Raw genomic sequence first — 24,568 nt, forward strand, 5'->3', positions numbered from 1 at the left:
AACTCTTGTTTTATCAATTAGCCTATGGTCAAATCGGTTTCATTATTTGTCGTTTTGCTTAAAGTTGCAGTTTCCAAGAACCATGGAGATTTTGAGTCGTCCCACTTCCCCTTCCCAATGGGACGCCGTACAGAGCCTCACATCATCCTACCAGTGTTTACCTGACGTTGACCCACCAGAGAGTCTACGCATTCTCAGGTAAGGCGACATGAGCTTCACTTCAGGGAGCACAGTTAGTCCCTGGGAGAATCTGGCTTGTTATGTTTCTAGCATCTAGAGTCTTGCTGCGTCTCTGTGCTTGACAGGCACTCATATTCAAGCTTCCCTCATTTCTTACAAAACAGGTGAGTCAAGGGAAAAAACAAATGAGAGACATTTGTAAAGGGCTGGGGAGATATTGACAGATTGCAGCAAATTTCAGAAAGAGTCTCAGAAATGATCAGTGATCTGGAAGGATAGATTCAGGAGGCGAAAATGTAAAGTAGCAGCAGCAACAATAGCAGCAATAAACAGAAACAAGCTAGACCTCAACTATTTATTTCTTGGCCAGCCCAGGGACTAAATGTGCTCTTTTCTGAGGCAAAATGCCAGCATATTTGAATCACAATTTAGAGGCCTAAATGGTAAAATAAATTGATAATAAAAGGATATTTAGGTTGAACATTAAAAAAAGCTTACCTTAAAAAGTTGAGGGGATAGACCAATCTTCCTATAAACTGCTTTTTTTTTTTTTTTTTTTTTTTTTTTAAGAGAGATAGGGTCTTGCTCTGTGTCCCAGGAAAGCAGTGGCATGGTCATGGCTCACTGAAGCCTCTAACTCCTGGGCTCAAGGGATATCCTCCTGCTTCAGCCTCCTGAGTAGCTGGGACAAGTAAGCACCACCACACCCAGTTAATTTTTTATTTTTTGCAGAGATAGGGTGTCGCAGTGTTGCTCAGGCGGGTCATAAACTCCTGGGCTCAAGCGATCTTCCCACCTTAGCTTCCCAAAGTGCTGGGAAATACAGGTGTGAGTCATTGCACCCCACCTTATTAACTTGTCTTAAAATGCAGAATGGGGCCTTTTTCACATCATAACAAATTATTGTTAACTAAGTTCCACTGCTTCAGAATGGGTAGGAATTCTGGCATCAACAGAACTGAACTGAACTGGACAAAATAGTGAAGGTCATAGTTAGCCTTTTGTTCCCCCCTCCGCACCCCACTTGAAGGTCTTCTTGCCCTCCCAGCTTCCCCATCTCTCCTTTATGGTCTTCACGCTGTCCCTTTGTGGCCCCAGGCTGGGACTATCTCTTGGCTATTACCCAGCACTCTACTTTCAAAACATGGCTCTCTTATGTCCCATTTCCTCTAACTTACTTTCATAATGAATAGCAACTTAATCCCCTAACACTTTACTCATACATCAATTATCCAGGAATATCTTCATTTTAAACAAGAATCCCCCTACTTCTCCTACATCTCCACATCCTCAGCAAAGGAACCAAAGTCGTAATCCAGAAGAAGAGTTTGAAAATGGGGACGATCTTGATTTCTTTCCCATTGATTTCCTTGAAGGCAAATCCCAGCGTCTGAGGTTCTGTTTACTCAATTAGTATCACAAACAATATAGGCCACTGGATATTTATAATTTCCTGAGATACCAAACTTTCAACTTACTCTTAAAACCATAGGAGCCTCTCTTTGTTAACAAGTCATTTATTTGCTAAACAGAGCTCATTTTAATGAATTTTTTTAACATAATTTTCCTCCAGGAACTAGAATAAGCTCATTCCAATCATTTCATACATTTGAAGGGAGTAATACTGCATTTAGAAAAAATGCGTAATTCAGTATTTTTATTAGTTCAGATATTACTCCCAGACCACAATCTGTTTGAGTTATGATTAGCTCTACATAGAATAAATAAGACTATGGAAACAAATGTTGCATTGGGACAAAACACAGGTTTGTGAAAAAGATATATCTGTAGTATTCTTTCAGAGCTTTTGGTTTTAAGTAAGAGAAACCAACTCCCTTTGACTTAAACCAGAGTGAAATTGAATGGATGATACTGATGAGCAAAGATGCAGGAACTGAACAAGCAGAAAACAACAGAAGCTGGATAGCTGAAATCACAGTCAAGGCCAGGCCCAGCACATGCTAAGCAGGCCGCAGCTGGCTGCTGCTGACCTCAGCACTGCTTCCCCTGAGGCCAGGCAGTGTGGGCTTTGCAGCTGCCAGAGTTGATGTCTCCTGCTCCACTCTGATCACCAGCTTCAGTTTTAAAACCAAACTGGCTGAGCCCAGGCCACAATGCCTACTTTATGACTGGGAGGTGGAAAAAGGGGGTAATCTACTTCTTCTAGCTTCACTAGTGGGAGCAGGTCTCATCTCCCACAAAGACTGCTATGGTTTGGCTGTGTCCCCACCCAAATCGCATCTTGAATTGTAACTCCCACAATTCCCGTGAGTCATGGGAGGAACCTGGTGGGAGGTGACTGAATTATGGGAGTGGGTCTTTCCTGTACTGTTCATGTGATAGTGAATAAGTCTCATGAGATCTGATGGTTTTTTAAAAAGAGAAGTTCCCCTGCACAAGCTCTCTCTCTTTGCCTGCTGCCATCCATGTAAGATGTGACTTGCTCCTCCTTGCCTTCTGCCAAGATTGTGAGGCTACCTCAGCCACGTGGAACTGTAAGTTGATTAAACCTCTCTTTCTTTTGTAAATTGTCTTTATCAGCTTCATGAAAATAGACTAATACAAAGACCTAATTAGGGAATTCCTCAAATACACAAAGGAGTCTACTAAATGCTGGATATCTAAACAACTTCCACTACTTATACCCAGAAACTTAAATCTAACTCAAGCCAGAAAACACCTTTGAAGGTGAAATTTCCAAACAAGAGCAGACTAAATTGGGCTTGTTTTATTAACCCAGGTCTCAGCTTCCTTTGTTACTTGGAGATGAACCTGACTACCTCTACCACGTGCTTCTGGGGCTTTCTGGTTGTTTTTCCAAGGGAGGCAATTCCATAATATACAGGGCACATGTGAAATAAGATACACTGTCTGGGAGACAGCAAGCAGGTTGTCCTAAAGGGTAAGATCTAATTCTTGCATTTAAAATTTTTCCTCTGGAAAATTGTGTCAAATCTCAAAAATAATGCTATATAGGGTAAAATAATGATTTGGAGTTAACTGTACACACAGCCCAATTCCTTTGTGATAATAGGGTTTTTTTTCCTATTATATCAACAGAACAGCACTTTGGAACATATGCACTTGAATACGTGATTTTACCAAATCAAGGAAATTCAGTAAGAATCTTTATGATGCAATTTTACTCTTCAGACTAAAAGTACATAAATACATATCACACACACATTTGATACATAATATAATTATTCTATACCATAATATGTCACATATTAGCATATAATATATGAAATGTAATTATCTGTGATATATAATGAAAATTATATATTAAATATGTATAATTATACATAACATAGTATGTTTATAGCATAGTGTAGCATATAAATTGTCTTATATCTCTTTTTGCTTATTTTCTCCCTTTATCTCATATTAATTATTTGCCCATTTTGAAACTCATGAAGTAACAGTTTAATAAATTAGGTATTATCATTTGCTAAACAGGTGATTAGGGAGAGAGGTAAAGTGATATTTTAAGTAATTTCTTTGGAGTATCTTCTTGCTACTGTGTTCTCTGTTTCTGTCAGTGTAACGGGGAAATTGAAAGTTGGCTAGATATCATTTTAAGCTACTATTCATTTTCATTTCCCCATTTTATTTTTGTGAGACTATTTCACTTGTCAGTTCAAGACGTTAGACACATTTGATTAAATTATCAGTGAGTGATCATTGTGACAGTAAGACGCAGAAGAGGAGAGGTGAAAAACGTTTGCAAAAGAAAAGCAGAGATATAGAAGAATGGGTAGGAAATGAATGGGGTGATGAAACAGAGAAGTCTCAATAAAGCCCCTGATAAACAAAGCCAGGTGTCCCAGCAGAAAACCTTGCTTCCCCCATCCAGCTGTGCTCCACAGGCAGCCCCTCTTTCATCTGGGCAGATCCTTTTCATAGTTAAAATAGCTACTATCAACTTAGGAATAAATGTGCCCACAGTACAGCTTCTTTATAAGAATGGCATCATTCCCTCTTCTGTTAATGGAGATGGTCTCTATCTACATGGATGTATAGAGAAAGGATTTTTAAGACCCACTTTACCCCAGATCTGTTTTACAGCAAAGCTCTTCATGATAAGTTCCAGCCAACATCACATTTCACAGAGCTTGAGAAAGCCAGCGCAGTGGGGAATCCAATCTCCCAGGGTGTGGTAGCATCTTCTTATATATTTGGAGTCCCTTCATACATAAATCAGAGGAGAAGACAGTCATGTAATGCTCACAATTATGGCCTGTGAAGTATGCAAGACCTGGGTCTCAGAAAGCCACAGCTCCACAAGGCATTAGATTTATGCCCATAGCAAATTACCAAAACTCTCAGAAGCCCTTTTGTGCTGGTCCACAGTGGAGGAGAAGTCATGGAATTTTTTCAAGAAGGATGTTGGAAAGATTGCATGAGGAAAAGTTCTCAGGATGCTGTCAGGCATACAGTAATTATTATAATCAGAATATGGTTGTTAATTCTTGTTGATGAAAATAGCCAAACTTTGTAAAATATTTAAAGAGATTTATTCTGAGCTAAATGTAAGGACCATGATCTGTGACACAACCTCAAGAGGTCCTGAGAACATGTGCCCAAGGTGGTTGGGTTACAGCCTGGTTTTATATGTTTTAGGGAGACATAAGATATCAATCAGTACATGTGAGGTACATATTGGTTTGGTCTGGAAAGGCAAGACAATGTGGAGCTGTGGGGGAGGTGGTGAGGAAAAGGGCTTCCAGGTCATAGGTAGATTTAAAGATTTTCTGATTAGCAATTGGTTTAAAGAGTTAAGTTATTATCTAAAGACTGGGAATCAATAGAAAAGAGTGTCTGGGTTAAGATAACGGGCTGTAGAAACCAAGGTTTTTATTATGTAGATGAAGTCTCGTAGGTTGCAGCCCTTAGATACAATAGATGGCAAATGCTTGCTATTCAGATCTTTAAAAGGGGGAGAATATAATGAGCCATGTCCAACGGCCCCCCACTTCCGATCATGGTCTAAATTAGTTTTTCAGGTTTCTTTGGAATCATTTTTGCCAAAAGGGAGATCCATTTGGTTGGTTGGGGGGCTTAGAATTTTTTTGGTTTGCATTCTTATATGTTTTAAAGGTTTTTGTCTTCTTCTCCTTCTCCTTCTCCTTCTTCTCCTTCTTCTATTTTGAGATGGGGTCTCACTCTGTTGCCCAGGCTGGCATGTAGTGGCACGATCTTGGCTCACTGCAACCTCTGCCTCCCTGGCTAAAGCAATCCCCTGGCCTTAGCCTCCCAAGTAGCTGGGACTACAGGTGTGCACCACCATATCTGGCTAATTTTTAGTATTTTTGGTAGAAATGAGGTCTCTCTGCCCATGCAGCCCAGGCTGGTCTTGAACTCCTGAACTCAAGTAATCCAACCACCTCAGCCTCCCAAAGTGCTGGGATTATAGGCATGAGCCACCCAGCTGCTTTAAAGTTTTATAAAAACTTTCACATTTATTTTCTCATTTGAGCCTCAGTACCACCTATGTTGTAGACATTTTTAGATTATATTATAATTATATTAAAACTCTTTGACTCCATAGATGTTGAGATAATTGGTAAAGCTCCCTTAGCTTGCAATCAATCAGTGGTGCTGGAGTCTTAACCCAGGTCTTTACAGGTTAGGTCATTTGCCTGGTTCACTGTTGTGAACCAAGTTTTAATTTGTTGTCTCTCGCTCCATCCAAACACTCCTTTCATCTAATTCATCATGTAAATATAAATGGACTCAGATAGCTCCTATATTCTGTGGCATAGTAGATTAATTTAACTATTTTTTCAGATCTCAATAATGATTTCATATTTCATGTGAGTTTACACTGGAACTTTTGAATTAAAACAACTTTAGATTTTGTGGTTTAATAATGGAGAGTCTGAAGACATGTTCCATTTCTTTAAAAAAAATATTACATTGTGTACAATTGAAGTACAAAAAGCTGCCCATGTATAAAGTATAAAATTTGATAAATTTTGTCCTTATATATATATACACTCATGAAGGCATCAGCGCAACCAAGATAAAGAACATTTTCATCTTCCCCAAGTTTCCTGATGCCCCTGTGTTCTCTCTCTTTCCCCTCACCTCTCCCTCGAGGGAACCACTGATCTATTAGGTTGGTGCAAAAGTAATTGCGGTTTTTGCCAAAAAAAAAAAAAAAAAAAAAAAAAAAAAGGCAAAAAAATGTAATTACTTTTGCACCAACCTAATACTTTTTATCATTGTAGGTAAATTTGCATTTTCTAAAATTTCATATAAACGAATCATACAAGATGTACTCTTTATTTTGTCTGATTTTTTTCATTGATATAATTATTTTGAGATTGATTCATATGGTTATGTGTATCCATAGTCCATTTCCTTTTTCTCATTGGATAGCATGCCACTGTATGAATATTCTGCAATTGTTTATCCATTGACCTATTGCTGAACATTGGATTATTTCTAGTTTTGGCTATTACAAATAAAGCTACTATGAACATTGGTCAATCAATTCTTTGTGTGGTTATACAATTACATTTCTCCACTCAAGATTCTAACCATTAGACCTTATCATTCGGTGGGTGTATCTTTAACTGTGTAAGAAACTGTTGAACTGTTTTCCAAAGTGGTTTCACCATTGTACATTCCCATTAGCAGTATGTGACAATTTCAGTTTCTCCACATTTTTGTTATTACTTCATAGATCAGTCTTTTTAATTTTGGCCATTCCAGTGGGTGGGAGTGGTGTGGTATCTCATTGTGGTTTTAATTTGCATTTCCCCGATGACTAAAGACTATGTATTCATGTACCTAAAATGCCATCTGTATAACCCCTTTGGTAAAGTATCTGTTCAAATCTTTTGCTTATTTAAAAAAATTCAGTCTTTGGTCTCATTATTGAATAATGAGAATTGTTTCTATTTTCTAGGTATGTCTTTTATTTGATACTTTTTGCAAATATTTTCTCCCAGTCTATGGCTTGCCTTTTTATTTTTGTGACAGTAATGCATAGAAATTTCCACCCTGAGGTTTTTCACTCTTGGGGCACTTCCTGTTTTGCCTTTTTTTTTTAAGCGATAGGGTCTTGCTCTGACCCCAAGCTGGAGTGTGGTGCTGCAGTCACAGCTCACTGCAGCCTTGAACTCTGGGCTCAAGTGATCCTCTGGCCTCAGCCTCCCGAGTATCCAAGACTACAGGTGTGCACCAACATGCCCTGCTAATTTTAATTTTTTTTTGTAGAGATGGTGTCTTGCTATGTTGCCCAGGCTGGTCTCAAACTCCTGGCCCCAGCATCCCAAAGTGCTGGGATTACAGGCATGAGCAACTGTGCCTGGTCTCCCCTCTTTGCCTTGAATCTCATTGCCAACTGCTTGCCTAGAGCATCACACATTGCTGAGCTCTTTGTCCATCTCCTCTGCTTCTGAGACTGGATCTTCTTGCAGTCCTAGCACAGAGGTCTTCTACTTCTAGATGGCCAAACCCCTGACACCCTGTGAGAATCTGTAAGAACAGAAACGATGCCTGGTTGAATGCTGGAATGAGTGATGCATTCTTGGAGTTTCACTTCACAGAATCACAGCCTTTGGTGGAATCATTGCATTCTTTAGAACTGTTAGTACAGTCTAACAAAATACAGCCATCTGGACACAAAACAAAACACTGGCTAGTTTATGATGCTGATGAAAAATCCAGTCATTCATACTTATTTGTCAAACAGCCACTATGTGTAAGTTTCTTTTCTGTGATTCCAATGGTCAAGAAAGAGAATCTAAACAAGCTGACTATGGCTTTCATAAGACCACCACTGCATGCTAATTCCATGACAGAAACAGGGTCTGGGTTAGTGTGGTTAGAAAGGATCCAAGTGATGCCCTGAGATATGGAAGCCCTGCCACTTAGTTCAGAAAGTTTTCTATGATGGTTGGCATCACAGTTCAGTAGCTCACACTATTTCCCACTAATTTGGGGCTTTTGCACCTCCATTAATACTACCGATGAATTTCTTTCTATGACTTATGAGCTTTTCAGCACTCTATTTTCCTTCTGAGTTCACACAATTATTAAAGGGAAATTGTTTATAATGGTTAAAGAATATCGAGTTAGGAGTGGTGGATTGCACCTGGAATCCCACTGCTTTGAGAGGCTGAGCTGGGAGGATCACTTCATCCCAGGTGTTCAAGACCAGGCTGGGCAGCATAGCAAGACTCCCATCTCTACAAAAAATTTAAAAATCAGCCGAGCATAGTAGTATGCACTTATAGTCCCAGCTACTTGGAAGGCTGAGGCCGGAGCTCAGAAGTTTGAGGCTGCAGTGAGCTAGGAATATGCCACTGCACTCTAGCCTGGGCCACAGAGCCAGACTCTATCTCTAAATGAATATAAATACATACATACATACATACATAAATACCCAATGATTATTTTGTGTCAAGTTTTCAGACTCTGAAATCTCAAATGGTTAGAATATATCTGGTTCCGGGTAAGTGCAATTGCAAAATCAGTTAGCACTTAGGCCCACTCCTTCCCCATTTTCAGGAATTTCTTAGAATTCATGTCATAGACTAGTCCTTCCCTCTCTGCTTTTCTGAATATTTAATTCTGACTGCAGCAAAGTTGCCTCCTCAGGATAGATTCCCAGCTCATTTTCTCAGCATAAGGAAATTCCAACAGAATAACTGAGAAGATTGACTCCCTCTTTGTTGCTCCTACAGCCCATCCTGGCAGTCACTACTACTGGAAGGCACTTAGCTAGTCCAGACCAGGACAAGTTCCTCATTGTTCCCAAGATGGCCTCTCACAGGAGACAGTCATTTATGGCCTTTCCTTGAGTCTGGGGCTGACATGCTCATGCTTGTCTATCTTTATGTGGAGAGTTCAATAGCCAATTGTTCCTTGCCAACCAGCTACTGCTCACTAAAGAATCATGGAACAAACACATTTCTATTTTTAATTTCTTATTTAGAAAAAAATAACATAGGGCACCATTATAATCAAATGTAAGTTTCTTTTCTTTCTTTCTTTCTTTTTTTAACAGCAACTTTGTTCTTTTTGCTTTCAACCCTCTTTCCTAGGTATCTAACTACATGGTTGAGTCAAGGTGAACTCTGTATTATTTCATCCTATAGAAACAAGCTGGTTTTCATCACAACTTAGCTGTACATTTTACAGTAAACCTCGGGTTCTAAAACAGGTCTTTCTAAGAAATGAGTAATGGAACAGAGAGAGAAGCTTAAAGGAAAAGCCAGTGTTTGGCTTCCTGAAGGGAGAAAGATTTAACATGACAGGGTGTGAATCCGAGGGAACGCTGGCTAGTAATAAAACTAGGGGCCTGCAGGAAGGAATCTTGGAAGATTTTGAAGGTAAGTTCCAATTAGAGGATAAAAGAAAAGGAAACCTATCGCTAAAACAAGGTTGTGTGATGATATTTGCAGCTGGGAACATGATTAGAATGCAGAGGTGATAATAAAACACAAGTGGGGAAGGGAAACTTTGAAGAACTAAATGAATAAAGAGGCAAGGTAAAATATTTTAAATTATGTTTAATGAGTTTAAGCTAGAACAAGGCAAGAAGCAGAACTGAAATACACTGAGAAAAAAATAAAAAGAACTTAAATAACACTCTTTGCTGTAACGAGGTGGGGGATGAAAAGAGATGAGAGAGTCTTACCCAACAAAGGGCTGCACTTAGGGGAAATCAAGGCACTAGCATCCTATAGGTGGGAGGTAGAAGTGGGTAGGGTGCTCCCCCTCATTCCTGGGCTCCCCTCCATTTTCTGTTAGCTGCTTTTCTCAGTTGCTTATACACATATAAATGCCTCGGGTTGATTTTAGCCCTAGTGTACCTGCATCCTGACTCATGTCATTGTGCGCTGAGGTGTGGCCAGCAGACTAGAGTGCAGGTTAACAACATGGCACCCCGTTGATGGATCACCTACTCTTTCAGTACTTAATCGTACACTGCAGCCTATGCCACATCATTTTTTTTTTTTTTAATGTGGGGTCTTACTCTGTCATCCAGGCTGGAGTGCAGTGGCACGATTTCAGCTCACTATAACCTCTGCCTCCCAGGCTCAAGCAATTCTCCCACCTCAGCCTCCCAAGTAGCTGGGACTACAGGCGTACATCTCCACACCCAGCTAATTTTTGTATTTTTTTGGTAGAGACGGGGTTTCATCACATTGCTCAGGCTGGGCCACTTCATTTTGAAGGTTAATGTGTTTTGTTTTGTCAGCGGGATGATAAGCACTATGACAAGGACTCTAGTTGATTCTTTTTTGCTTTTCTCATGGTACCCAACATAGTGCTATAAAAATAGAAGGTAGACAAGAAATACACACAGGATGGAGAACTCTGTCCCATAGCTGTGGGGGTTTCTGAAAGGCCTTCAGGAAAAAGAGCTTCCAGATGTGGGGGCCATCTTCAGAAATCCTGCAGTCCTCAGGCAAATCTGGATGGTCTTACACGTCCAGGGACTGAAGAGAAGTCAACACGCTTCTATGATTGCTTGCAGTAGTTGCACTTAATCAGCTCTTGAGCTGTTGCTATTCTTCTAAGCAATACAGGGACCGAGGGGCTACCTTGTTTGCTTCTCCCCAGTCATGTACAGTCAGTCGTGCCTCCATATGGATGGATTTACATTGCAGAGGAACTGACAGGGAAGAGTGAGAGTCACAGCTTGATGGAGGTGTTCTGGGGCCATTTATGTAACTCACTTCTCTGTGCCTGGACTCCTAGAAGATGACTTCTAACAGAGTCAGTGTTTTGGATTCAACAGAGATTTTTCACTTTAGCAATTTAGAAAAATAAGTGTTTGGCTCTTCTCAGAGCCAAACATTTATCTGATTAAAGAACATAGAAACATGTGGTTGATTACATATGTTATGTTCAGATATGTGTTCTTTTACATCTAATATTTCAATATTTCTCCATTGTGACCAGGGCCAGCTCCTCTTAGTGATCAATGATTCAGTCCAGGTCTAGGGCTTCATCTTGACCATGAATATTTCGTTCTTGGATATTTTGCTTTCCTCATTCCTGAGCCTCACTGAGCGTTTCCTGTTGTTTTAAGATGAGCTCTTCTCAAACGCTTTATCAGCTCAATGCCTCTCCCAGGTGGTACTGGGCATGCTGTCATTGCTGCATAAGCCACTCTTGTTTATGTGGATATTACTGTTTCTCTTTCTGTTACTCTGTTCACTGTCTGGAGTCTTACTCTTCCAGTCTTCTGAGTTCCGGAGTCCTCTAACCATAGTACATACTTGAGTGATTGCTGGAACAATTTTAGGAGTTGTGACAGAGATAAAGTAGAATGGAGGTTTTTGCTAATTTGGGATGAACTCAGAGGATGGATAAGATACAAATAGGTGGAGAGAAAGAGAATACTAAGACATTGTTTTTAGTGTTGGTGGTGCAGTTTTTCTGCTCCTTAGCTCAGTTAGGTTGGGGTTCTTGTCTCACGACCAGGAAGAATTGGGCACGTGGACACTGGAGAATGAGTGGAATAGAATTATTAAGTGAAAGGAAAGCTCTCAGCAAAGAGAGGGTCCTGAAAGAAGGTTCTTGGTAGCCCGTTCACAGTTGACTACAAGGGCTTTTACATATCTGGTGATGGGGCTGGGTTCCCTATGTGTATAAGGCATGAATTCCTGGAGGCGCCACCCTGTCCTTTCAGTGCACATGTGGGACCTTAGTCTGAGCCACTTCATACTGATTTATTTCCCTTACTGTGCATGTGTTAAGGGATGAAATTTTTCACCACGGGCATGTTTAGGCAAGCTCCCTGTGCACAATGACCTTGGCAGGTTGGAGGTTCTCCAGGGACCTTCCCCTGTCTGCCTAGGAGAGTTCTCTGCCTCCTGCCTCTATCATTGGCATGGACCAGACAGACTGTGTAGAGAGAAGACTGGAAAAGCCTGCATTTGGGCCATGGGAAAGCTCAATGCCAGGCTACACAGGCTGTTCTCCCATTGCCAAGATGGCCCGATGAAGACATGAGCCCCCTGGCTGGTGTGATGAACGCTTTGTTTAGGGGGAAGATACAAGTGAAGTGGTGCAGAACTTACGTCTTTAAATCCACCACCACACTGGAAAATGTCCACAAAATAGTCTATTGACAGGTGATTTTTCTGGCTCAGGTTCCAAGCTGACTTGAAAAATGCCATTATGAGTTTTCTGCTGTTTTCATTTAATGGCTGAAACATCAGGTCTTGAAAACTTCAACTGGTCACTTCCTCTAAGCTACTCAGAAAAATATTTCCCTTTTATTAGTGTCCGAACTGTGCATGCATGTATGTGTTACCTCAATGCCCACTATGGTGGTCTGTTTTTAAGCTGGTCCTCTGTGATCCCTGTCTCCAGTATGTATGCCTTGGTATATGGTCCTCTTCACTTGAATGTGGACAAGCCTTAGTTACTATTGTCTACCAGCTAGAATATGGCAAAAATCATGGTATGCCATTTTCAAGATGAAGATATGAAAAGACTGCACCTTCCATTAGGGGTATCTTCTCTCACATTCTGTCTCTTGGAATCCTCATCTGAGGAAAGGCACATCCTATGTTGTAAACAGCCTTATGGGGTGGCCCACATGACAAGGACTTGATGTCTCTAGCCAAAAGACAGTGAAGACTTGAAGCTTGCCAATGGAACGTGAGTGAACCCAGAAGCAGATCCTTCCCGGTTTGAGCCTTCAGATGACAACAGCCCCAGCCAGCACCTGCACTGCAGCCTTGTGAGGTACCCTGAGCTGGAGGACCCAGCTAAGCTGTTCTTGGATTTCTGACCCACAGAAACTGTGAGATCATAAATGCTTGCTGCTTTAAGCTGTTAAATTTGGGCTAATTTATTATACACAATAAATAACAAGTACATCCACTTATAGTGGGTTTGTGAAATAAAATTGAGGCATGTTCATGTGATAGGACATAGGTCAGTCATTAAAATGTGAAATAGAAGAATATTTAATAACATGACAAAATATTCACAATACACTGTTATTTAACAATATCAAATTGTTGTTAAACAACTGGTACTATATGGTACAAGATATATGTGAAAAATACTAAATTTATATTCACCAGCATGGGTTAAATATCGAAAATGGAATTTATGGCTGGAATATTTGTTATTTGACGTACTTTCTACATGTACTTTTAAAAGCATGTGCATGACTTTTAAAAGCAGAGGAGAAAAAACAATGCACTCTTAGACTGCACACAGAGGGCAGACCTTAAGCATGGATCTAGTATAGCCACACTTGAAGATACCAGGACATTTTGAGGGGGATTTTTAACCTACTGAACACAAACTGATAGCTAGCACTGTTCAAGCTCAACTTCAACACTGCAGATGAGTAATTCATTTAAAATAAATATTCATTATTTATTAGGATCCAGGAATGCCTTCTTCCATAGGCGTATTCAGCACATCAGAAATGTCCTTGAAGCACCCATAATTTCAGCCCTTTGGAAGGCTGAGGCAGGTGATCACTGGAGGCCAGGACTTCGTGATCAGCCTGGCCAATATGGTGAAATCCCGTGTCTCCTAAAAATACAAAAATTAGCCAGGTGTAGTGGCACATGCCTGTAATCCCAGCTACTCGGGAGGGTGAGGCAGGAGAATCCCTTGAACCTGGGAGGCGGAGGTTGCAGTGAGCCAAGATCACACCACTGCACTCCAGCCTGGGTAACAAAGTGAGACTCTGTCTCAAAACGAACAAACAAACAGACAAAAAGGAAATGCCCTTAAATCTTTAGTTGCACTGGTTATCCATCCGAGGTTCAGGCACCCTCACTGAAAATGTCATAGAGAGCTTCTGTGGCTCACAAGGAGAGTTGTTAGATCACAGGTAGTCGGTCAGCCAGAACAAGACAAAGCCTGGGAAAATTCAGTGCTTAGGACTTGATTTTTAAATCGCTTTGCCAACTTAATAGAGGCTTAAAATTTTCCATACAATTCCCATACTAGTGATATGGACAGGAGGTGGGGAAATACTGGGTAGAAGAGGGTGGTTCCCCGGCAAAGTCCTCACCCTCAGGCCTGGAAACCGCGGCCCTAAATGAGAACGGTTATCCTTGTTTTTCAGCCCAAATGTTACTTTTTTGGTTCTCCTTGTCCCTTCCCCACCATCTTGTGCCCATATAAATCCCAGACCTCAGCTGTCAGATAGTCAAGCAGCTGAACATGGAGAGGAGAAGGAGCAACTGAGTGTTAGAGACTATGGATAGAGGTGGCTTAACTTCAGAAGGCATGACTCCAGCCGCGCTTCAGGAAAAGATCACCTTCTTTCGGCACCATCATCTTTCCAGCTCCCCTCCGCTAAGAGCCACCTCCATCACTCAGTAAAACCTCTGCATTCACCATCCTTCAAGTCCGTGTGACCTGATTCTTCCTGGATGCTGGACAAGAATCAGGGTACCAAGAGGGCAGGGTGTATGCCACCGTGATTCTCCACTGAGCTGGTTAACACTTAGCCATCCGTGGACGGCAAATACTAAAAGAGAATTGTTTGCAACACATGCCCTCTGGGGCTCCAGAGGTCGGGGGCAACCCCTAGAGGCTGCTGTGGACCAGTACAGGGTTCGTTCCTGCTGGCGCCTAAAGACACTCACCCTGGCTCTTTCACCCGCTCACCTGCATGCTCCTCCTCCCACAAGGGGTTTAAGCTCTGCTGAGCAAAATGAGCCGCCCCCCACCCCACTGTCGCAGGTCCCACAAGGGGGTCAGGGAACTCTCCCATCTCACTGGTTTCCTCAAAGCAGTAAGACACTAGAACTCACTTTTTCTAGGTGGAGATGAAATCCGTATACTGCAGTTGAATAGCTGCCACAGCAAATAGAAATGACCGCTATGGTTTGTTCCTAATTATGGTTTTAAATTTCTATAGGATCTCTTCACTTTGGGGAGAACTTTTTCACTATTGGCTTTTGGAAATAGACATTATAGTGATTTGGCTCAAACAGAAAAAAAAGGCTTCTTTCTGAAAAATCTAGAATTTTCATCAGTTTTGCATTCATTCTAATTAAACGTAGGTGTAATATTAAAGTGAAGTAACCTCATCCTCATTTCTTAGGAAAAACATCAACCAAAACCGTATTTTTCATGTTTCATTTCAGTTTCTCTAAAGTATCAGTGCACTGTCCATCATAAGCAATTGAAAGAGTTTGTGCTAGTAACTGCTTTGCAGGATATCAGAGTGAGTTCAGACAGCCTGAGTTTGTTCCCCATCCCACCATTCAGTGACTCTGTGACTTTCAATTCCTCAGTTTCCCTTATCTGTATCACAAGCACTTGCTTCACAGAACGTTAGGAGGGTGAATTTAGCGAATGTTGTTAGAACCATGTCAGCTATGAAGCATGTGCTCAGTAGATATACTCATTACTCTGGAGACTGATCAATATAGTCTCAGTAGAACTCTTTCTGAAGACAGACTTGGTTTCAATGAACAATTTAATCAATGGGAAATATTTTGTAGAAATAGAGAATTTAACAAACTCTTGGATTATCCAATGCTGCATGATAAATTGATGGAGTCAGAAGACAAAGTGCAATGCAGGCTTACTGGGTAAAGCCCAAATTCCTCAATCTTTTGGAAATGAGAAGAAGGACGCTTAAAGCTCATTATTGTCATGGATCTGGGAGGTTTTTACAATTCCCAGGAAGGTTTAGAGGAAGGTTTAGATGGCTATTAATGTAACTGACCCCAGGCGACTCTGACCCAGGAAGTTCACAACAGCCTTCCCAATGAATCAGGTCAAAAGGTCACCTTTTTTTTTTTTTTTTTTTTTTTTCAGAGAACGGGGAAGATGCTAATGTGGGAACTGGTTAGGAGAGCATCTGGACATTGCTATTCTTAATTATTCTGGAAGCAAAGAGCAGAACAGTTGAATCACTTTAATGAGAGTTACAACTTGCTGAGGTTAAACCAGTGTCCGCATCTGGGAACCCATGCAAACTATTCAGGAGGTAAAGAAAGAGACCAGGAAGGTAGATAGAAAAATAGGGAACTCACTTTTTAGGATTTTTTCGAGCCTATTTTGTTAATATCAGTATCTATCCTTCCCTTTGTATTCTTGTGAGTCTTCTTTTCAATTTCTTCTAAGGGACTTGATACAAGCTTGGGTTTGGGACATGTTCTTACTAATGGACCAAAGGATAACATCAATAGCACCAGGTACCTGTTCTACACCACATGCATCATATGTATCATCTCAGTTAATCTTCACAATAATCTTGTAAGGATGAGACTTGAACCTTCATTTGACAGATGAGGAACCTAACGCTCAGAAAGGGTAAGCAATTTGCTTAAAGTTACACAGCTCAGACATGGCAAGTTGAAGTTTAATCACAGGTGCACCGGAGTTCAATGCCTAGACCCTTTCCTCTGCTTGTTCCAGGGTCTCAGAGGAGGAAAGGAGAACAATTTATGTCAGATAAACTTATTTGCCCAAAACATGTGTAGGAATTTACGTCACTGCACTCATTTCTACAGCCTCGTTTGTTCACAAAATGCTCTAATCACAGATAAGTGGGAGCCACCTTTCTGAACAGAGAATCGTTGGAGTAACTTCAAAGCCACCAGAAATGTAGGGGAGTTTGGGATAGAACCTTGAAATAATTTTTGGTTACCAGTAAGCACAACAAATAAAACAGTGAAGTCATTCGTAGGAAGATGTGAGAAAGTGTTTAAAACACAACTTTTGAGAGTTAGAAAGACCTAGAAAGAGTATCACTGGTTCCCTTGGGGATTTCACCAGTCCTTAGCTACAACACAGTCAGTTGTATAGAGCTTTCGGATGTGCGTATATGTACAATTTCGAAAAAGTTCAATTGGTTCAATTGCAGAAAGCTGCCCCAATCTGCACATGGGCCAATTTCCATTTGGTGCTGAAACAGTTTTATAGAAATTGCAATAATGTAGCCCACTCGCTGCATGGACAGAAGCTGCCTATTTCAAGTTAGGTGTTCATTCAATTTTCTTGTCCTTTATTTCTATATTTAGTTTATTCCCTTCCAAAGATGTGTAACGATAAGAAAGAGAGAAGAAGTAAGGAAGGAAGATATTTTCTTTTCTCTATATGTGTGTTTTATCAACACAGCCTCAGCTTGAGATCTCTTGGGAAAAGCATTTCAAGACAGGCAGAATGATGTCCTTCCTGCCACAACATAATTTTCCAGTTGCCAGGGGAAAACTACATATTGTACCCAAAACAACAACCGAGAGAACAGATAATAATCACTCCCTAAGAGCACTTGCTTCAGCTTCTCTCAGAAAAGGCTGCAGAAACGATCTTGAAGTTACTATTAACTCTGTATTTTAAAAGAGACAAAATGGATTCCTGTCCTTCCTTGCTGGAATGGCTGTATCGCTTTCTGCAGTCAGGGTCTCCATTTTTACTTAACAAAATCTAGCACGGCTGGTCTAAAGGTATGGGAACAGTGAAAGGGGCGGATCAAGAGAAGTCTGCTGAGGGGTTCAAATTTCTTTCTTGGTCCTCCCCCCAAGATGTTCTTGTCAGGTGCAAAAATCCTGTGATCTGCACAGCAATGCGTGTGAAAACCACATGTTTTGATGCAATACAACTGTCCTTGCACAATTCTTATCCGGAAGCTTATAAGAAAAGTGCGATTTTCTTAGAAGCACTCGTATTGAATGTAAGTGTATCCTTTCCCCAATACTCAGAATGTTGTGGTTCAGCAGCAGTGACCAAACCCCTCAAGTAGCTGCCCTATGAAAACAAATCCCCCCTGCAGCTGGGTTTTTTTTTTCTTTTTTTTTTTAGGAGCCACACAGGCCAACATCCTAAGGATTTTTGCAAACTGTAGCACTGAGTGGCTCTGCCCTCTCAGGCCTCCCTTAATGAAGACCTCTTGGAGGACTCATATTGAGCTATTATTGCAGGCATTGCCAAAGGCTTTCTTCACCCCCACCTGTGAGCTCTGCAAAAAACCCAGAAGTGGTTGGCACTATTTTTATCAAAAGCAAATAAAAAATAATAATTTCCTCAGGATATACATCCTCTCAGAAAAGAAAAAAAAATTTCTCGTTTTGACAGAAAAAGGAAATGTATAAGCAAGTCAGTGGAGAACTTTCTTCATTTTTAAATTATCGACTTTCCTCCGACTGTGGCGGGGTAGAGATTCTTAGGCTTGAAAGGGGTCTCTTGAGGTTGCCCAATTCTCTCCCCATAGCTTTGATTCCAGCAGATAAGGATCTAATTTCTCAACCTGCCAAGAATGGAGATTGCCCAAGGTCCCTTGGTACCTCATTCCAGTGTTTAACAGCCCTCACTGTCATGAAACGCTTCTCGGTGCCTAATGCAAGCCCCCAGTATTGTAATTTTGTGTCTCCTTCCTGCTGACACGTCCTCAGGGAGGTGCAGTCCATCTCCTTCCGATCGCCCTGTGTCAAGGTCCTTCCTAAACTTGAAGACTCAGAGACAATGACTCCTCGCTCTTCCCTATTCCAGAGCGAAAACAGAAATTTACTTTCTTTAATTTCTCCTTTTGAGTGTTAGGTCTAACTCATTTGTGACTTGCCTCTCAACTCTGGCCCCCCGACCCCGTCTACTTTTGCCTCCTTACTTCTGAAGAGAACTCCAAAGTCTTAAGGGAAGATCACCCTAGGGTTCCCTCTACTACAATGTTCAGATTTATTTTTCACATCCAGAAATAACTCAGTTAACTCAGGGTCGTGAGGAAATTTTTGGGCTGGCTCCTCCTAAAACTAGTATGGGGAAGGATTTTTTTAGTTTTGTGAACCTCTGGGAAATTAACCAAAAACTCCCCCACAGAATGTATTAAAAACAAGAGGCCTGAATCATCTATTTTCGGGTCTGTGTTATGGTTGGATTTTTAAAGGTGAAAAATAGCTGGTAGAATTAATATTGAATAAAAAAATCAGCGGTGGCTTCATATCTTGTCCTGGCTATGTTAATAGGAGAGGCATAATTTGTCACTCTGAAATATTAAAATTCTACATAAATGGGTACTCCTTATGGATTGATGAGTCAACTGAAACAGAAGGAAGGAAATTGTATGGTTCGCTAGAGTCTTGCAAAGTTCAATGGAATCTTCCATAGAGTCCTTCATGCTAGTCTTTACTCACCAGTTAAAGCCCAGTGGCCACCCACCATATACGTAGCTACCCTGGAGATGTGCTGGGGCACTTTACCCAGTTTTGAAATACATCTGGATGTTCCTAACTCAGGGCTTTATATCTGTGAAATTTTGATTAGCATGTGCTGAGCAACTGCTTGGCGTTAACTTTTCATATGTGAAATAGAAATTACGGACATGCTGAAGAGACACTTTAGGTTGGACACTCCCACTCCAGAAATAAATCAATGAGACCATTCCAGATTTTTCAAGCATCTTAAATAAAGGAAATTCCAGCTCGCCATGCGAAATCCTTCTGTAGAGAAAAGGAAGTGGCCCAAGCCGGCAACTTATTCTGATGAACAGCTTGTACATTCAGAACAAAAGTGAGAAGCTTCATGGTTGTAAAGAAAAGTGGTAATTAAATCATGCGTCAAAGTGCACTCAAAATATTCTTTTTAAAAGCTTATACATGACAGCACAAGAGGTTGCTAGTTACATGTATTGTTTTTAAAAATAAACATTATTAGGTTCATGCAAAAGTAATCTCAGTTTTTGCTATTACTTTTATTTATTTATTTATATAAATTTTTAAAGTTCTGGGGTACATGTGCAGGATGTGCAGGTTTGTTACATAGGTAAACGTGTGCCAGGGTGGTTTGCTGCACCTGTCAACCTGTCACCTAGGTATTAAGCCCCATGTGCATGAGCTGTTTTCCCTAATGCTCTCCCACCTCTGCCCTCCTCCAACAAGTCCCAGTAAGTGTTGTTCCCCTCCCTGTGTCCATGTATTCTCATTGTTCAGCTCCCACTTATAAAGGAGAACATGTGGTTTTTGGTTTTCTGTTCCTGCGTTAGTTTGCTGAGGATAATTCGCCATTACTTTTAAATGGCAAACACTGCATTTACTTTTGCACCAACCTAATAGTTACATTTTTAGAACATTTACTTCCATGGACTAGGAAACCTAAGATGTTATCTAATTAATTTTTATAAATGAGGTCTGGTTGGGCTGCGGGTTGGTTGGACGGGTTATTGCCACTTACAAATGGATAAAAGTGAAAGGAATTTAATAGTCTTTTCTAAGGTCACAAATGGCTCAGTGGTGGGATGATTAATTCACACCCATGTGGGCGTCAGGGGACTAACATCCTATTTCTCTTCTGAACTATATTATCCAGGAGACCTCCATAGGCCAAAGGCTTAGGAGAATTCCTGATGTCTTCTCTTCTCCACTGCTGGGTGGTGATGTTATCCATCCAAGAAGATAAAAATCATAGAATATTTTTTTTCTATGATATTCATTCATTTTTGAATGAATCTTGGAGATACTTTAATGCAGCTTTCTTCTTTCTATAGATAAGCCAGCTTATGCCTCTGAAAGGTTATCCAAAATCAGGCACACATGATTAAGAGCAAAATAGGGACCACAACGCAAGACTTCTGGCTCTTCTACTACAGCAACTGAAAGCAACAGTGAACATTACTTCATTTATGGTGTAATAAAACCAACTTCAAAGTCCATTTAGGCCCAGATGACTCTTGGTCTCATGCTTGACACTTCTGTTACCTATTTGAGGCTTACTGTTCAAAATATTCATAGACTGTACTTAAGGTACCATGTGTTCCTTCTGGTAAATCAAAAGTAGTTTTTATGTTATATTTAGGGGCAGATTTCATCTACTAGCATAAAACATTATGATAAACTCTCCCCACCCCCTAACAAAGGCATTTCATTCCACATGTCGTGAGCAACTGCTTGCAGAGAACATGCACCATGTGAAAAAGTAATTATTGCCTTGCCTAAGGAATGAAGCTGACTCTATCAGCATGTCCAGGCTTTTGCAGATAAGTGAGCAAAACCATGGCTTACTAAGAACACTGCAATTTTTTTTTAACCTTTTGAAAATTCATTCTTTTCTAATGATTAGTTATGGGGAAAAGTGAGTTAAGTACTGCTTGACAGTTTGCTCTATAGAAGCTCTGTAATATCACCTCTCCTAGTCTTCTTTGATATAGAACCAACCATCTGTATCGATGACTTCTTTCCCTCTTTAATAAGTTGTAAATTGAACAGCATAATTCTTCCCATGTCCAAGACTAGTCAGCCAAAATACTGTGTTCGGAATTTGGCTGGCTGTATGTTATAACTTGTCTGTCATCACTTTCTTTCATTACAGCCCTGTGGTTGGTTTTTGTAGACTTTAAGGATCCGTTCGCTAGTGATTCATTTCATTTGGGTATATGCTACATGTTATTCTGTGCTTGTGTTAGACCAAAATGTCACATTCCACAAGTGTGTCCAGATGATCACTAAGCATTGGAAAGGAGTCAGTTTTGGAGTTGGCCGAGCTTCCTTCTATAAGACTTGTCTTTCAACAATTGATAAGGTTGATCAAATCTTTCAGCTTCGATCTGTTGTGTCCTTATTTCATAGAAATGGCCCATTTTTGAGTCTTAGAGTTTACTCTCTTTTTACTTGTGAATATATCTGAAATGAACACTTACTAAGACATAAATTCCAGTGAAAGAAGGGTCTTTCCTTTTGATTATCCTCTTTTAGAACTCTCCAGAAAAGGAATGGACAATCTTTTAAAGAGAGGCCTCTTTGTTAGTGGAAGTATTTATCAAGAGAATGGATTTCCACGTTAATCAGAGATTGCAATAGGAACTTCCTAAAACTCCTTCTGAAGTTAAGATTTCTTGAAACTCTTCTCAAACACTTGGTTTAATGTAGGGGGCGGCTAGAGGAAGTTGAATAAATATAAAGAGCAAGTTTTTGTTTTGTGATCATTATTTTTAGTTTTACTTGAAAAAGTAAAGGTGTTCTTCATTGGTTTTTGTTGAAAGAGTCCTACAGGATAAGGCTTTTGTTTTGGAACAAGAGAAGAGCGGTTGAGCTTGTTTGGTGTGTGGGAAACAATTTTAAAGTGTGACAGATATTTCTGTAGCAGATTCTTCTGCAGCAACAGCCAGAGACTGGTTTATTGTTTCAGTAGGGAAGTAGGTATCTAAGTCAAAGGTAAGATGGGGCAGATATGCAGATTGTCTCCTCATCTATTTACGAGGTAACCTTTTTCTAAAGCCAGAAAAAAACAGCTAATCGTTGCATCTTCTGGTTGAGGTGGTAAACAACTCAGTTATCAACCGGCAGAGCATAGCTGTTGGTTTATAATTCAAGTCAACCGTGCAGGAAGGAGGGAAGTAGAGGAGATGCAGTTTCATTTCCCATTAACTCCCCTGACCTGAATTAAGGTGGGAACTGAGGAGAACATCTGTAAAAATAACAGCATGCAAACTGTACAAGGACAGGGCCATGCCCAGTTAACCCGCTGTTTGAGGTCTAAATACTTTTTGGTTATTGTGCAATATGAGTAAAACATCCTCAGAGATGAATCATAGCTCTAGAATTTTAGATTATCACTGCATATGACAATATAAAAAAATCCATGCTCCATTACACCAATTTAATAAAGCAATGTGGCATCTACCTGCCTGAACACCAAAGACACGCAACCTTATGAAAAGAAAAAAAAAATCCAAATATTCATTCTTAGAGAATCACGATTTCATTGACTGGATCAGTGTCGGCTGCCTTCAGTATAAAAACAGGACAACTTTGAATATATCAGAGACTCTCCAAATATCATCATGGAGATTTACTAGGAGCCTTCATAAATATAGTGAGTAATAAAGCAATTTCTAGGGACTATATAGTAATCTTGAATTCTGTGATTCATATAAATGTGAATTATTAATAGAAAATAATCAAAATGATTTAATAAAAGTACATGTGTTCACATAGAAAGGGGGAAGAGAGGCCGGGAGTGGTGGCTCACGCCTGTAACCCCAGCACTTTGGGAAGCTGAGGCGGGTGGATCACGAGGTCAGGAGTTTGAGACCAGCCTGGCCAACATAGTGAAACCATGTCTCTACTAAAAATACAAAAATTAGCTGGGTGTGGTGGCCTGTGTCTGTAGTCCCAGCTACTAGGGAGGCTGAGGTGGGAGAACCCCTTGAACCTGGGAGGTGGAGGTTGCAGCAAGCCGAGACCATGCCATTATACTCCATCCTGGGAGACAGAGTGAGACTCCGTCTCAAAAAACAAAAGGGGGTGGGGGGTGGGGAAGACAGCACTGCTTAGATATTAGAAAAAATCTGAGATTTCATTGCTTTTTCTATAAGTTATAAGGTGATACCATGGAACTGTGGGCAAGTCCCTCAACAATCTAAGCTTCCATTTCTTGATCTCCAAAACAGTGGCACCGAGGTTTGCCTTGCTTACTGCCTTGAGAAGTTCAGGAGAGACAGTGCTTGTGAAAGTGTGAGTCAATTACTATTTGTTTTCTTGCATGTGGCTTGTAAGGAAGTCAGATAACATAAGAGAAGTGAGTGACTGAGTGTTAAAGTGAATTACCAAGGATGCTGGAACTTGAAATGCTTTTGTGTGTAGCAATGCAGGCCGAGCTGCCACGTGCTATCCTGTGTGTCCCCGCTCTCCCCGCGTTGCAAGCCCGCAGAATGCCCCGCATCCACTGAGCCGTGGCCAGCCCTACGGTGGGCAAGCCTATCAAGCGCAAACATTGGGAGGGTTCTGACTCTCAAGTGTCTTACAGAAAATAGAGCCAGGAGCTCCATCTGGCACTCCATTTGCTAAATGTCCCATTGATGTCAAACGCCAGGAAATGTGGCTGTTTAAAATCCCAGGGAATAAGATTTCCACTCAGCAGCTTTCTAATGTACGCGCAGCACTCTGCGAAGCAAAAGCCCTTGCTGAGCAGTCTGGTCACAGCCCCTTACACACAAGCTCTCTGGGCCTCCACTAAGAAGTACAAAGACACAGGGCAGAGGAAAATGGACTTATCAGCTCCAGTGGCTTAAAATATGCCGGATGCCAATAGAGGGCACTGTTGCATATCCACAAAAGCCCACGCTCCGCAACCTAGCAAGACCACCAAAGCACTCACCTCCTTCCACACTCTGGCTGCAGTCCTAATGATGAACAGGAGCGATTAAAGTGGCAATCCCACAAAACACGGCTTCTGGTCAAAGTTCATGACTGCTTCATCACCACTTTGATATTTGCAAAGGGGCTTCATGATCATTTTCAGTCCTGAGTCATCTCCAGTACTTTTCTGCAGAATGCTAGATCTCTTAGCTTCACTTTTCAGAAGACTGAAATCCAGAGAGGTTAACTAGATGACTTGAGCCCATTCAGTCCAGAACTAGACAGAGATAGAAAACTCAGGGTTCCTGAATTCTACGCTGGAGAGTTTTCAGAACGGTGCATTGCGAGCTTTGAAT

At 40.8% G+C, this 24,568-nt stretch overlaps 1 long non-coding RNA gene across 1 annotated transcript in view, besides 1 other annotated feature; it reads right to left on the bottom strand.

Moving 5' to 3' along the window:
- The window catches only part of IATPR (ITGB1 adjacent tumor promoting lncRNA), a 42,782-nt gene extending 18,214 nt beyond the window's left edge, over positions 1-24,568 (bottom strand). The window contains exon 1 of the long non-coding RNA NR_160030.1: positions 24,232-24,568. This is a non-coding gene — a long non-coding RNA (ITGB1 adjacent tumor promoting lncRNA). The remainder of the gene's footprint in view (positions 1-24,231) is intronic.
- Positions 3,728-4,393: an enhancer, noted in NCBI's record as "OCT4-NANOG hESC enhancer chr10:33384895-33385560 (GRCh37/hg19 assembly coordinates)". NCBI's record gives its function as "activates a minimal SCP1, AML or CMV promoter by ChIP-STARR-seq in naive and primed H9 embryonic stem cells {active_cell/tissue: H9 hESC(naive and primed)}" and the evidence as "EXISTENCE:reporter gene assay evidence [ECO:0000049][PMID:30033119]".

Source organism: Homo sapiens, chromosome 10 (genome assembly GCF_000001405.40).
Source record: "Homo sapiens chromosome 10, GRCh38.p14 Primary Assembly".
Classification (NCBI taxonomy): domain Eukaryota; kingdom Metazoa; phylum Chordata; class Mammalia; order Primates; family Hominidae; genus Homo; species Homo sapiens.